The sequence below is a fragment of the Homo sapiens genome, chromosome 4, assembly GCF_000001405.40.
Source record: "Homo sapiens chromosome 4, GRCh38.p14 Primary Assembly".
Classification (NCBI taxonomy): domain Eukaryota; kingdom Metazoa; phylum Chordata; class Mammalia; order Primates; family Hominidae; genus Homo; species Homo sapiens.
Genome location: NC_000004.12, coordinates 169,728,563 through 169,744,735, shown reverse-complemented (window position 1 = coordinate 169,744,735; position 16,173 = coordinate 169,728,563). Strand labels below are relative to the sequence as shown.

Here is a 16,173-nt window from a genome sequence, read left to right as displayed (position 1 = left end):
ATTTTTTGTCAGTGATAAAATTCAGGGTTTCAAATAAAAATTAGATTGAGAAACTTGTAATACCACTGTGAGCGCAATAGCTTTTTTTCATAATGTTATGTAATGAATTTGATATATAAGTTTCAACACTTACATCTATATAACTTAGTAAACCACTATTTCCAAAGGGCCATTGCATGATGCCATATAACATGCATGGGTACAAATTCATTTGCGTTGAAGACATTCTAATGGATTTAAAGTCACAGCACAAAATGTTCACGTTCATGGTTATGGCTTCAGTTGCACATCGCACCTTATCTTTAAGCATCACACAGTAAAGTGTTAGAGTAGGTTTCGGCAGAGACAAAAACTTACAGAGATAGTCATAATAATGTCATATGTATGGGAAGGCAGCTACCAAGTGCCTTCAATAGTGGCAGAGGTAAAAGAGGATATTTTATGTGGGCTTTGATGGATGCCTAAGAACTTACTAGAAAGAATGGGAAGAAGGATGTTTTAGGTAAGGGAGCAGTATGTGTGTGAAAGTGTGAAAATACGTGGCACAGGGTACTTGAATGGCTATATTGCCGTGCCAGAGTGTTGAGGAAGACTGTAAAGATCGATTGATTCACATAGGACTGACATGATCAAATCTGTATTTTATGGTTGATATAAAAATACCCTCTAGACATACAGCTGGTAATAATTGAAGGTAAGATTTAGTGTAACCGTGTGCTGTAATCAGAAGTTAGATTTTGATGGCTTGGGTTTCTGTGGCATTTTAATCTACCAGTTCTACTGGTAACTCTACGGGTTTAATCTATTAGCTCTCTCAACTTGGGTAAGTTGACTATCCTCTGTGCCTTTTTTTTTTCCTGATAAGTACAATGAAGCTAAGACTAGCACCCACTATAAATGTTCTAACTCCCTAACAGTGTTGCAGGGAATACTACAAACTCTCAGATGTTGGCAGTGAATAGAAGTGAGTTTCTTCCTAGGAGTTGTTACTCCCTCAGCCTTCTTCCTGGAAGTCTGGCACACTCTTGCCGCTCTTCATTTTACTCCTGACCTTTTATATTGATGGCAAAAATCTTAACCTGTTTATGACAAAATATAAAATTATTTCCATAAGTGGCATTAACATGATATATATTCACATACTTTTGAGAACTACTTTGGATTATGCTTTTGTATAAGCTTACAAAGTAGCTTTGCTTTCCTTTTGTGTTTTCTAAATTTTTCTTAACACAAACTTCAACATTAAAAAAAAAATCTATCGACCTTTAGTGTTATAATAGTGTCCTGTCTCTTTAAAAATGAAAAAAAAAAAAAAAAAAAAAAAAAGGCCAGGGGCAGTGGCTCACGCCTGTAATCCCAGCACTTTGGGAGGCCAAGGCAGATGGATCACCTGAGGTCAGGAGTTCGAGACCACCCTGACCAACATGAGGAAACCCTGTCTCCACTAAAAATACAAAAATTAGCTGGGCGTGGTGGCATGTACCTGTAATCCCAGCTACTCGGGAGGCTGAGTCAGGAGAATCATTTGAACCTGGGAGGTGGAGGTTGCAGTGAGCTGAGACCCTGCCACTGCACTCCAGCCTGGGCAACAAGAATGAAACAACATCTCGGAAAAAAAGACAGTTTTTTGTTTTTTTTTTTGAGGCAGTCTTAGGCTGAAGTGCAGTGGCACGATCTCGGCTGACTGGATGGCTGCAACCTCTACCTCCCGGGTTCAAGTGGTTCTCGTACCCCAGCCTCCCGGGTAGCTGTGAATACAGGTGCATGCCACCATGCCCAGCTAATTTTTGTATTTTTGGTGGAGACAGGGTTTCACTATGTTGGCCAGGTTGGTCTCCAACTCCTGACCTTGAGTGATCCGCCCACCTCGGCTTCCAAAAGTACTGGGGTTACAGGCATGGACCACCATGCCTGGTCCCTGAAAATATATACATATATTTTTTTGAGACGGAGTCTTGCTCTGTGGCCCAGGCTGGAGTGCAGTGGCGCGATCTCGGTTCACTGCAAGCTCTGCCTCCCGGGTTCACGCCGTTCTCCTGCCTCAGCCTCCCAAGTAGCTGGGACTACAGGCGCCCGCCATCACGCCCGGCTAATTTTTTGTATTTTTAGTAGAGACGGGGTTTCACCTTGTTAGCCAGGATGGTCTTGATCTCCTGACCTCATGATCCGCCCGCCTTGGCCTCCCAAAGTGCTGGGATTACAGGCGTGAGCCACTGCGCCTTGCCTGAAAAATTTTTTTGATGTCTACTTTTTTTTGATGTCTACTTTTTTTTCTGTTAGGTCAGACTTCTCCAAAGTAGTATGCCATATCTTAGTATCAAGTGATACAGTTTAAACCTTGACTAATCTCAGCTTTGCAAATACCCCTTATACCTTTATTGTAGACATTAGAGTGCTAATATAAATTTGAATCGTATTTGCTCTTTCTCTGACTGGCAGTTTTTTATGAATATTGCTTTTCTCTTATTTGAAGAAAACTATTAGGGATTTTGAGAGAAGTGTTGGTAATTATTCTGTGGACTTATTCTTGTATGGAATTTGACATTTTTACCTTGGCTCAACTTTGAAAGGTCTTTGTACTTAGTACAGTGGCCTGCCACATAATGCGGACTTTTACTTCTTTTTCAGATTATTTTTGACGAAAAAACTTAGAGAAATAACGGATAAAAAGAAAATCAATCTCTTGAAAAACATAGATGAAAAACTCACAGAAGCAGCCAGAGAATTGGGGTACTCGCTTGAACAGAGAACCGTGAAGATGAAACAGAGAGATAAGAAAGTATGATTTCAACCTGTTGGTCTCTGTTTTGCTATAGCATATTTTTTTCCCCTCTTGATTCCTTCCCATCTCTACTTTACCCTTCTCTTCCCTAGTCCTATCTTAAGAACTGGATGCTGTCCCTTAGGGATGTTAGGAGGATGGCACTGAAAGAGGATGGCACTGAAACAGGGGTCAGATGGCTCCTTTGGGTTGGTACACTGATTGAATTGCGCAACTGGTGATATCACTGCTGTGGTTGAATAACTCATGCCAGTATTTACCACTCTTTTAATCTTGTTTACCATTTAATCACTTCATAAAGTTAAGTGAAAGCTGCTTTGTACATAATGAAATTTACATACATACATTTTCTCCAGTAAACGTGTATATAAGCAGTGCTCCTTTCTTTTTCCTTATTAATCCTATCATTTCCTTTTGCATCTCTCCTAATGTCTGCAATATGAGGGGAGTATTTTGTAAAGGAGCAAATACTTGTTAATGTTGGATTCTTTTGGTTTTTCAGCTATAGATTTCAGAGTAAGTTAATGACAAGCTGGAAGATTTCTGGTTTGGAGTAAATGAGAATTCTATAGGAGTTTGTTCTTATGGCCTCTGGGGAAAAAACAAAAACAAAAAAAAAATTTGTCACTGGAATGAGGGCTCCCCAGTCTCCTCCAGCCTCTCACCATTTGTCTGCCCATGCTGGTTCATCTGAATGTTCTAAGCTAAATGGAGAACTTGCTATTCCTTAATAAACTAGCACTGGTAATGAAGTACCTTAGTGTACTTAGGCATTAAATCCTACTTCAGTTCCTTCTCTGATCTTGATTCAGCTGCAGGGGTGACATTTGTATCAAGTTCTAGGCACTCTTTAGTCCTATAGACTGGAAAGTTTCTTAAAACATACATTTTAATGAAACCCATTACAATATGGCATTTTAAATATTAAGATTTTATATTGCCATTTACCTTTCTGGTTATCACAGGAAGCTTCTTCCACTTTGTGACTAGGAGGAAGGGTAGCATTTGTAACCTAGTTAATGTATTTCTAATTTGTTTTGACTAAAGTCTGAGCATCCGTACACATAATAGCTGTTAGCAAATTATTTAATCAGTCTTTTTTTATTTTTCTACCACAAGCTATGATTTATTTCAGAGGAGATTTTCTTAATTCTTCCCCATAAAGAAGATATGATTGAGGTTTAAATTTCATAGATATTTTTGTCCTAGACCCCTCCCCTATGAAGTTTCATTTTAGTATTTGTTTTTTATACAAAAACAGCTGGTAAAAACAAAGACAAAAAAGAACTTTCAAGACAATCATGTTTTTAATCCTCCCCTGTTAATGACTATACTTTCAAACCCTTTTCTGTTAAATGCAAGGTTGTTCTTTTATTGTTTTTGTGAGATCTTCATTGAATTCATATTTTTCTACTGAAGAATTCAATTCCACTAGTATATGTGAGTTAGTGGCTTTGTCCTTGTGTGTGAGCGTAAGCATATTTCCACTCTAGTATGATAGAGCACTGTGCAGCACACTAGAAATCAGTGTTTTTATACTGATAGTAACTTAGCATACTTTGGAATGCAGAGTCTTTATGAGTTATATCATTTGACTCCCTACAACAAATCTGCAAAGTTGGAATTATCCTATTTTATAGATGAGTAAATTGAGGGTTATAGAGGTTTTGTGTCTTGTCCAAAATCTTAAATGACACATGTAAAACCCAACTTCATATTTTCCATATTTAGCATTCTTTCCACCCCATCTTCTTACTAATTGGCTCTCTGCCACTTCACCTTTTTCATACCTGGATTTCTTCATAAGGAACGTTGGTTAAATGATGCATAAAATGATGGTGTGGCACTCCATCCACCTGTGATCCCATGCTTCAGGATGTCACCCACCCCTATACAGCTTTCCTAAATTTGTAATCTTATTCTTCTTAATTTCTTAATAAAATTACAATTCTGATGACTTCTTAATTGATTCCTCTTCATGGACAATTAGTACAGGTAATCATCTGTGAAAAATCTGAACATATTACCATCATTCTTTATGTTGTTCAGCCTGAGCTGGCAACTATAGCACTGCTGTCTTTTTCTTTCATTATCAGTGCTTTATGTCCTGCTTTTTACACTTATGAATATGGTATCTTTATCATTTCATATTGCCAATTTAAGATCTACCTCATAATTTTGAGCGGCTGCAGAATACTGTGCTTATGGTCAAAGTTTGGGTTGCTTAAGATTTTTCACAAACACAATCCTGCCATAGATATCCTTTTATACCTTTATTCTCATACTTATCTGGTTATTTTTTTAGAAGAAATTCCTAGACGTAGTATTGCCAGGTCCAAAGTAGTTTGTGTGTGTGTAGGTGTGTTTGTAGTTTTTCTTTGCTTGTTTCTAATTTTGGGGGGTTTTCTTTAGTCTTTTTAGTTTTTTCCATGCTGGTAGGTATAAAATTCTGCAGTTTTAATTAGCATTTCTTTAATTATAAAGGACGTTAAATACTTTTCTCTGTTGGCCATTGTATTTTTTTTTTAACTGCCTGAACTCTGCCCATTTCTCTATCAGGGTTAGAATTAGTCTTTTTCTTACATGTGTTCTAATTTGGATGTTAGTCTTTTCCTTTGTTAGACTCCCTTATAGTTTAAAGACATTAATTTTTATTTACTATTACATTTTGCAGATATATTTTATCAGTTAATTTGTCTTGTGTACTTGATTTCACTGGATAGACTTTTTATTTTTATATAGTCAACTCTTCTCTATCACAAAATTATTTTTTAAAATTTACCTTCGAGTAGTTTTATGTCTTTATTTTTTATTTATTATGCTTTAAATTTTAGGGTACATGTGCACAACGTGCAGGTTTGTTACATATGTATACATGTGCCATGTTGGTGTGCTGCATCCATTAACTCGTCATTTACATTAGGTATATCTCCTAATGCTATCCCTCCCTCCTCCCCCCACCCCACCACAGGCCCCAGTGTGTGATGTTCCCCACTCTGTGTCCAAGTGTTCTCATTGTTCAATTCCCACCTATGAGTGAGAACATGTAGTGTTTGGTTTTTTGTCCTTGTGGTAGTTTGCTGAGAATGATGGGTTCCAGCTTCATCCATGTCCCTACAAAGGACATGAACTCATCCTTTTTTATGGCTGCATAGTATTCCATGGTGTATATGTGTATGGTTTTATTTTTACATTTAATTCTGAAATCCAGCTGCAGATTATCTTGATAGAAAGATTAAGATAGAAGACAATGACTTCATTTTTTTCCCAAGTGGTAAGCAGTTGTCTGATAACTTCCTTTGAATAATCTGCCCTTTCTGGCAGCTTAATAAAGGATAATGAAAGAAGCAAGAGACTGGGAGAATAGGGAGATTAGAGAGAAAAAAATCTTTAAGATATAGAGACTTAGGTGAGAGGCCTTTAAAATTGGAGTTTGGTTTTTGGGTTGTGTCCTTCCTCTGCCTTGGAAACTTTTCACTGAATTGCACAAAGAAGTGGAATATTTGTACAGATGTTTCGCTAAGGAAAGACCTAAAAATAATGTCACTAACATGAGCTAAAGGAAGAATGGAAACTGGAAGGGTTATGGTGGTAGTTGTAGTTGGGCCTGTTTTTGTCTTTGAAGACTACCACTTAATAAAAGCTCACTGGTTATGTGATTTGCCTCCATAAAGGACACCACAAACCTAGAAACTGCCCTACTTTTGGGAAGTTTGCAGAGAAGCCTAAATATTCCAGGTAAAAATAGGGGAGTCTCAATTTGGCAGGATGGATGAGAGGAGTTCTGTCCTACCATATCTTCTTGCTGACAAGAACTATTTCTTACTCTTTTTCTTTTAGAACCAGGTTCCTCTGTGCTTTCTACCAGAAGGTACTTTGACCTTAGAGGAAACCAATATTTTGACTTGCCTTCTAGGATGTATTGGGTTCTTCCTTAACAAATCAGGGTGCAGACTTCCAAGTGACTGGCACAATTAAGAAAAGCCAATTATTTCACTGTTCTGTGATTACTTCAACTGTTTAACTTTTAGCTGATTTTCAAGAAAAAAATAGTGTTAAATTTTTACCCTGGAGTCCAAATTTACTGAAATAAAATGTGATTAAATGTTACATTTTGGCAGAAATGTTGAGGGTTTATGTATTTGGGGATTTTTTTTTTTGATGTCTGCTTACCATGATTACATTTTATTCTTTTCTTTAATGTAGGTTGTGACAAAGACCTTTCATGGTGCAGGCTTGGTTGTTCCAGTAGATAAAAATGATGTTGGGTACCGAGAGCTCCCTGAAACAGATGGTAATGTATTTCATAGTAAACATGTGCATATATGTTAATGCACATGAATAAAGGTTTTGCTTATATTGGGAAGTAGGTATGTCTATATACCTTTTCTGACACAGTCGCTAGACCTTAGTAATAAAGAGTAAGCTGAGGTTTTAGAGTCAGTCATTCCTGAATTAAAACCGAGTTCATAGCTGTGTGGCCTTGAACAAATTATTTAACCCTGTGAAATCTTGTCTTTTTCATCTGTAAAATGGAGCTAATCATATGCACTTCATAAAGGAATTTGTGGTGTAAACAAGTATTAAAATACTTAACAAAATGCTTGCCTCAGTGTTCAAAATTCAGTAGTTTCTTTTTTTGTTTGTTTTTTTTTTTTTTTTTTGAGACGGAGTGTTGCTCTGTCGCCCAGGCTGGAGTGCAGTGGCGCAATCTCAGCTCACTGCAACCTCCGCCTCCCAGGTTCAAGCGATTCTCCTGCCTCAGCCTCCCAAGTAGCTGGGATTATAGGCACCCACCACCATGCCCAGCTAATTTTTGTATTTTCAGTAGAGACGGGGTTTCAGAATTTTAACCCATTGCCTGCTTCTTGGGAACTATTTCCGAACCTTTGACATTACAGTCAACTTGCAAAGTAGTAATTATTGAAATTGTGTTTTTATGGTTCTTTGTGAACATTTTTTCATCTGCCTATAAAATGATTTAGCTTTCAGAAGCCCAAGATCCTGAACTACGTCATCTGTAAGTATAAAAACACTTTGAAAATGGACCACTGCGCATAATCTAGTTATTGCTACGTTAAACATCGAGAATTAAAATCGCTTCTCAATTCTTTTCCCCTTGTCTCCATTCCCTTATCGTGAACAGCCCTGCTGGTATTCCTTTATTGATCATCCTCTTCTGGGGGGATAAAACTTAAAGGGAAATCAAACTTAGCATCTTCTCAAAGAACCACATATTCCTGCCCAATGCACGTATTTGGCCGTCTGCTTTTCAGAACAGAACTAACTAGCCTTGGTAGTTACCAGTCTCTGGGGGTTGTGACCTGGACATCTGCATTTAAACCAATTCTCTAAAGCAGTTCTTCTCAAATTTTACTGTGCAGAGTCTCCAGCCAGTAGGTAGAGATGTCTTAGATGGCAGCTACTCATACGGACCTGTTTTTGCTGTACCCCTGCCACTTAGAGGAGTGCCATAGGGAAGACGAATGTGGCTGAGCTGTCCAGTGTGATGGCCACTGAGTGCCTCACAGGTGGCTCCTGCAACAAAATTTGTAACTCGTATTTATTTTTTACTTCTTTTTTTTTTTTTTTTTGTGACAGGGTCTCACTCTGTCACCCAGGACGGAGCGCAGTGGTGCAATTAACCTGTCTCGGCCTCCCGAGTAGCTGGGACTACAGGTGTGCACCACCATGCCTGGCTAATTGGTGGGTTTTGTTTTTGTTTTTGTTTTTGTCCTGTAGAGACGGGGTCTCACTCTGTTGCCGATGCTGGTCTCGAACTCCTGGGCTCACGTGATCAACCCACCTCGGCTTCCCAAAGTTTTGGGATTATAGGCATGAGCCACCGAACCTGGCCTGTAATTTTCTATAATTTTAATTAGTTTAAGTTTGTAAATTAAAACAGGATTAAATGTTTCTTACATTGATTATATGTTGACATAATACTATTTTGGAAATATGGGTTAAATAAAATATCTTAATTTCACCTGTTTTTTGTTGTTGGTTTTTTTTTTTTTTTTTAGCTCCTTCTCCTGCCCCACCTGTTTCTTTTTTCATGTGGATACTGGAAAAAATGTAACCCACACTGTATTTCTCTTAGACAGGCTGATCTGTCCTATATCTCCTCTTTGAAGCCAGAGTCAATTAGTCTCTGATGGGACCATTGTGGGCCCTAGCTACTGGTCAGTCTTCTGCTTCTACACTAAGTCATCTTCTCTTCATGTCTCTGCTCACAGAGAGAGCTTTAAAAAGCATGATTACTATCTCGTTTGGGAAAGGTTGCGCACATTTGTTGTAGAGATGGGCAGTCTCTAAAGCTTTTGGGGTGATGGATGTTAAATTGTAGTGCCCTGGAGTAAAGCCTGTTACCCTGCGGTAGTTGTGGTTCTGGGGTTTTATATCCAAGTCTACTATTCTAGGCATTAGATCCTTCTGTATTTAATTAGTTTTGAAGTGGTAGCAAAACATTAAGACTGAAGGACCTAATCTTCTTGCTCTTGCCAGTGTCATTTGCCAAGAGGTATAACTGACTGGCAGTTTGTTAATGTGACAATGATTAGCAAATCACAACTAAGTTTGTTCTTAACCCTTTGAAGCTTCTCACAATAACGCTTTAACTTAGCAAATAAGATACGTTTTATTGAGCAATTCTTAAATGTCAGTGTCATGATTCACTTTAACAAGTGATGTATTTAATTCTCACCCAACTCTTTATTGTAGGTCTTATTCCCATGTTCACAAAGGAAATAGACTCACGGTGCTTAGCATTAGTCAGTAAGGGCTCTGGTTTTCTTTTTTTCTTTCTTTCTTCTTTTTTTTTTTTTTTGAGATGGAATTTTGCTCTTGTCACCCAGGCCGGAGTGCAATGGTAGGGTGTCAGCTCACTGTAACCTCCGCCTCCCAGGTTCAAGTGATTCTCCTGCCTCAGCCTCCTGAGTAGCTGGGATTACAGGCACCCACCACCATGCCCAGCTAATTTTTGTATTTTTAGTAGAGACAGGGTTTCAACCATGTTGATCAGGCTGGTCTCGAACTCCTGACCTCAAGTTATCTACCTGCCTTGGCTTCCCAAAGCCCCGGCTGAGGGCACTGGTTTTCATACTTGGTTTTCTGACTGTAGAGTGCATACTACTATCCGAAGTAAGAAGAGTTGCCTGCCTAGTTGCCTGATTTTTACCTTGACAGAACTACTGTAGCTTAATTTAAGTATTCTAGTTGATAGTAGTGGCAGGGATATAGTAAGAATTCAGCAGTGAAACTCCTAACTCATTAAATTGAGTATTTTGAGTAGAAACATTTAAGTCATCATTTTTGAATAGTTAACTTAAGGCTTCACTCATGTTCTTTAAGTTTGGGTTTCAGTTAAATGAAATTTCTGTAGAATGTTTTATTGCTGGAAGAACATATTTTTCCTTGTACTGATGGTGAGCTGAATATTTTCATCTCTGTTCTTCAGTGTTTTTCTAGCTTAGTAATTCGCATAAGTTGCTTATTCTTTTTAGTCCATATGTGACTTGCCAGGTGTAAAAATAGAAAATAAGATACTGGAAAGCGATAAACTTTAAATTCTTCACTTCCATACCCACCCTGATTTGTAGTGGCTGACTGGAGCACAGCGAGAGAGATTCTAAGGGTCCCAGTCAATCAGTTACACCCACGATAACAGGGAGGAACCACTTATTTTCCATCCTTAAGGAGCTTTTTGGAGAAAGCTTCATCTGTTTTCTTGAAATGATCAGCACTGATTTTTCTGAAGAAAGGAATGTCATGAAGCTCATGTAAAATAATTTAATTTGTAAAAGGTTTCAAACCAACAAATATGTCACTACTGTTTATAGATAGTTAGAAACGTAGGTGGTGCAGTTTGCCATTCGTTCAATGCGATACTGGTCCACCAAAAGTGGGAAAGGGAACAACACATTTTGTGACTGGGGTAACAGCATGTATTCTGTACTGTCGTCAAGACTGAACCAAATGTTATTCATAGACTGGGGTTAAAAGCACTAGTATATAGTATATTTTTAATACCATCCTTGGTAATTTTTTTTTTTTTTTTTTTGAGACAGGGTCTTACTCTGTCACCCAGGCTGGAGTGCAGTGGCATGACCACGGCTCACTGCAGCCTGCACCTCCTGCACTGGGTGATCCTCCCACCTCAGCCTCCCAAGTAGCTGGGACTACAGGTGTCCACCACCAAGTCCAGCTAATTTCTCTATTTTTTGTAGAGACAGGGTCTCACCACATTGCCCAGGCTGGTCTCCAATTCCTGGGTTCAAGCAGTCCTCCTGCCTCAGCCTCCCAAATCCTCCCACTAGGATTACAGGCGTGAGCCACTGCGCTCAGCCCGTCCCTGGTAATATCATACCTGATATTTTTCGTTAGTCTCATCAGAACGTTGTGCCTCATACATAGAATTTAACATCACCTATCATTCTTGAGTATAATTGTTAATGTTTTAACCAGTCTTCCTCTCCCCCAGTATGGCAGCCACCTGTTTGGAAATGTTTTGTTGGTTTGTTTGAATAATATCCATTCTTTTCATTCTCAAAGAAGTACTGTTTGTTAAAAAGGACATACAATTTGTCAAAAGGAAGTCTAAATAGATATTGTTCATACTTCCATCTCATTTGCGTCCTGAAATCGGATGTACATTAACATCCAGAAAGAATGAAAAAAATCTTGAAAGCCAAAATTGAAATGTTAATTTGTAAAAATATATTCTTTAGGTAAATATTAGACATTTTCTCTCTATTCTTACCTCAAACGCATGCTTGCCATGCCTACTCTTCTCCCAATTTGGTGAAGGTTTTAGTTAAAGGTTTAATTCTGCAGTGATTTCTTGTCTCTTACATTGTTGTCTTTTTCTGGGTTTAGTTCACCACAAGTCACAAGTCAGTAATTTTTTTTAGCAAACAAGGTAGGACAGGGCAAAAAGAATAAATTTTGCCTACTTGGATTATTTTTTAATCCAGTTGTCTTAGTATCAGGACCTCGAAGGATACCCAGAATCTGATGCTCAAGTCCCTCAAATAAGTTGGTGTAGAATTTGCATAACTTACGCACATCCTCCTGTATATTTCAAATCATTTCTAGATTACTTAGAATACCTAATATAAAGTAGACACTATGTAAATAGTTGTTATACTGTATTTTTAAAATCCGTATGTTTTATTTTTTTCCTGAGTATTTCAATCCGCACTTGGTTTAATCGAAGGATGTAGAACCCTCAGATACAGAGGCAACTATATAGTGCATGAACCAGGCTGGCAGACTTTCCATGTACAGCCAGATAGTAAATGTTTTACACTTTGTGGGCTACATAATCTATCACATTCTTGTTTGATTTTTCAACCATTTAAAAATGAAAAAAACTTAGTTTGAGGGCAGTTAAACACAGGGTGAGCCAGGTTTGCCCAAAGTTTGCCAACTCCTGGACTAGTCTGCTGAATCTTTAAAGCTTATGTAAATGCATGATGACCACCATGGAATAGACTTTTTAAAAAAATCATGACTGTATCTGGGCCCAGTGGCTCACGCCTGTAATCCCAGCACTTTGGGAGGCCGAGGCAGGCAGATCATGAGGTCAAGAGATCAAGACCATCCTGGCCAACATGGTGAAATCCCGTCTCTACTAAAAATACAAATATTAGCTGGGCGTGGTGGCATGTGCCTGTAGTGCCAGCTACTTGGGAGGCTGGGGCAGGAGAATTGCTTGAACCTGGGAGGCAGAGGTTGCAGTGAGCTGAGATCGCACCACTGCTTTCCAGCCTGGTGACAGAGCAAGACTCCGTCTAAAAAAAAAAAAAAAAAAAAAAATCGTGACTGTAACTAAATCCTGTGAAATAGTCGTTAATAAAGAAATACTTGTTAACCTGTTTTTAAGCTTGAATCCTAAGTAGAAAAGTTACCAAATTGCCATTCTAAATTAGAGTGCTGAAGACTACTACCCAAGGTGGCACAAGTTGTATTAGTACAAAGTCTTAGGAGGAAAAACCCTCTTTATAATCTTCTTACTTTTGAAGACTGATTCATTTTCTAACTATGTAGATAATCTTTTATATTATTGATTTCTTTCAGCTGACCTCAAGAGAATTTGCAAGACAATAGTTGAGGCTGCAAGTGATGAGGAGAGACTAAAAGCTTTTGCTCCCATTCAGGAAATGATGACTTTTGTGCAGTTTGCTAATGATGAATGTGATTATGGCATGGGGCTTGAATTGGGAATGGATCTCTTTTGCTATGGCTCACATGTGAGTAAAAAAACCCTCCACCTTCTACCCACTGCCACACCTCCCTCCTCTCCCCGCGACATACATCCACACATGAATACGTGCACATTTATACCCCCAAATTCCAGCAGAGGTAAGACAGGGATTCAGCTTGTATTTCAAAATGAAGTTTTTGAAGTGATTTTTTTTAACGTAGATGTCCTAAAAATGTTTTAAACTCATCTTATATTCTGGCAAAGGTGAATATTTGCATTCACTCAAAGGTGAAGATTATTTGCATTCAGGCTTACATTAAAGTGAATTTACTCATTAGACACATTATAGGGACATGCCTTCTTGCCGTGTGTGTACGTTTGGGGCTAGGTATGGGGGTGTGTGCACACACCTTAGGCTCCATTTCGTTTCCATTGTGGTGGGGGTATTTGTTATTGTGCTTAAATTCTTAGATGAAAAATGCACTTTAAATTATTTAAGCTTTATAAGAGATGCTGTTTTACCGTTAACTAATTGCTCATTAAATAAGAAAATTTTACTTAATAGCTAAACCAGTGCTTACTCGACCATAGTTGCCTGAAGATCAAAGAGGCAATAAGGTGTAGCGGATATGACCTGTTTCTGGGGCCAAACTGGTTGTAAATCACATCTTCCCAGTGTGTAAGATCGGGCAAGCTTTCCAACACCTTTGCATCTGTTTCTTTACCTGTAAGATATGTGTGCACATGTGCACGAGTGCATACCCACACGCAGATCATTTAATTCTCATTTAACCTACTTTGTAACCAAGTCACAGAGAGGCAAAGCATCTTGCCCAGGTTCACACAAGCAGTCTGGCTCCAGAATCAGTGCCTAAATCAGTGCAGTAATTCCCAAACTAAAATGCATATGACTCACCTGCAGACATTGTTAAAATGCACTCTATCGGTAGGTCCAGCATGAGATCTGAGACTGCATATCTGTCATGCTCCCAGGTGACGGTCATGCTGCTGCTCTACAGACCACACTGGGAAAAGCAAGACCAAACCAGTAGCTCTCCAGCTTTAGCGTGCATCAGCGTCAATGGGAAGGCTTGTCCAAACGCTCACTGGCAGTCTTCCCACCCTCCCCAAGTTTGATTGAGTTCTAGGGTGGGTCCTGAGAATTTGCATTTCCAACAAGTTGCCAAGTGAAGTTGATGCTCCTGGTCGGGGGTGTACATTTTGAGAACCCTGCTATAAACCATATTATACTACTTTTCTTTGCCCACCTCATAGATAGTTATCAGTAAAAATAATCAAAATGCTTAACAGCCAGAATGACAGTCATTGACCAATCCAAATAGTACTTGACCTGCTAGAGAGGCCCTAGCCATAAATAAGTAGAGCCATAAGATGTGAACCAGTGAATAGCAAACTTGCTTGTTGTGAGAATGAAATAACATGTATGAGTTATAAAAAGGTTTAGCACAGTGCTTACCGCATGTTAAGGGCTAAATGTTTATTATGATCAGCAAAACGGTGGTATATGTAGATAATAGCAGTAATCTCAAATCTTTTGATAAGCCTAAGGCAGTGACTCTTAACAGGGATTGGGAGGCGGTACGTGTTGGGGATGGGGGAGAGAAGGAATTTGAGGATAAAGGCAATACGATCTGAAAACTTTCAGCATAGCTATTCTTACAGAATTGAGGAAAATAAAGCTTAAACTTTTGCCTGGGAATACACTGGAGAGAATAAAAAGTATTTGTGGGCATTGTTTGGGGTGAGAAAAAGTTGATAAAACCTAAGGGAATAAGGAAGCTCGATTTAATTTGGTTTTCTTAATTTTCAAGATATGCCATTAGTCATCTAGAGCAACAAGACTGCCTCTTAGAATGCCAGGCGCCTGTCCTTAAATTATGTTCACTAACCACCTGAGGGTGTAGCTAAAATGATTTTGGAAGTAGCCTTTGTTAAACAAGTGCTTTGTTGATATATTTTCTGCTACTTATTAGGATATCTGCTATATTCTCTGCTTAATGTTATATTTTTATTTTTCAGTATTTTCATAAAGTTGCTGGCCAGCTTTTACCTCTTGCATATAATCTGTTGAAGAGGAATCTGTTTGCAGAAATTATTGAGGAGCATCTGGCAAACAGAAGTCAAGAGAACATAGACCAACTTGCTGCATGAGTAAGGTGGCTTTGATTGGTGTACAGTATTTCAAAGGACTAGTATTAAACTTGTGATTTTTGTTTTGTTTTTAAGGAATACAAAAAATAAACATTTACTAAAAACGTTTATAAGGTTCTTCTGCCTGGTTTTCCTTCTTTAATGTGCAAAAAAATGGCAGTCAAATCACCTAAATGGTGACCCTAATCACATTTTGGAGGACAATTAAAGTCACCCTCTGATATGTCACAGGAAGCCACTGTCTAATGCCTGTGGCTATAACTAGACCATCCTTACAGAGTCCTGTTTCAATATTTATCATATGGGCAACTAAGAATATTTCTTCTGAGTCTTGAGTTAATAGCTGTAGCTTTAAGGATCGGGTTTATGGCAGGAGAAGAGGGGAACAGAAGGAAACTTAGAAGGAGACTCATGACACTGCAATAAGCACTCTTCCAGGGTGCCTGACCCCGACCTACCCAAACTGCATTTTGAGTAGTAGCTCCAGGTGACTCCCAGTAAGTAGTCCAGTTATCCCATTAGGTATATTATTTTAAATCTTCTCTTGACTCAGTCATTTACTAATACAGTCTAGTATATTGATACATAGTATATAGTTTTAGTATAAGATAGTAATCAGTATACCATTACTTTAGATTTTAAAGTTTTTCATTGCAAATGATTTCAATGGATGTTTAGTACGAATCTGTGGATAGCTGTGTTTTACTAGATCCAGATTTTCCTTAAACCTGATTACATGTCCTTCACCTTAAAAGTAGAGGGCAGGGCCGGGCGTGGTGGCTCACGCCTGTAACCCCAGCACTTTGGGAGGCTGAGGTGGGCGGATCACCTGAGGTCTGGAGTTCATGAGCAGCCTGGCCAACGTGGTGAAACCCCATCTCTACTAAATATACAAAATTAGCTGGGTGTGATGGCAGGCGCCTGTAATCCCAGCTACTTGGGAGGCTGAGGCAGGAGAGTCGCTTGAACTCAGGTGGAGGTTGCAGTAGATAGCCATTGCACACCGGCCTGGGCA

At 38.8% G+C, this 16,173-nt stretch overlaps 1 protein-coding gene across 1 annotated transcript in view; it reads left to right on the top strand.

The window, feature by feature from the left end:
- HPF1 (histone PARylation factor 1) overlaps window positions 1-15,266 on the top strand; it is a 28,475-nt gene extending 13,209 nt beyond the window's left edge. Inside the window, exons 5-8 of the mRNA NM_017867.3 lie at window positions 2,629-2,779; window positions 6,989-7,076; window positions 12,860-13,032; window positions 15,027-15,266. Of these exons, the coding sequence (NP_060337.2) occupies window positions 2,629-2,779; window positions 6,989-7,076; window positions 12,860-13,032; window positions 15,027-15,158 (544 nt within the window). The 3' untranslated portion in view covers window positions 15,159-15,266. The remainder of the gene's footprint in view (window positions 1-2,628; window positions 2,780-6,988; window positions 7,077-12,859; window positions 13,033-15,026) is intronic.
- The last annotated feature ends 907 nt before the right edge of the window (window positions 15,267-16,173 follow it).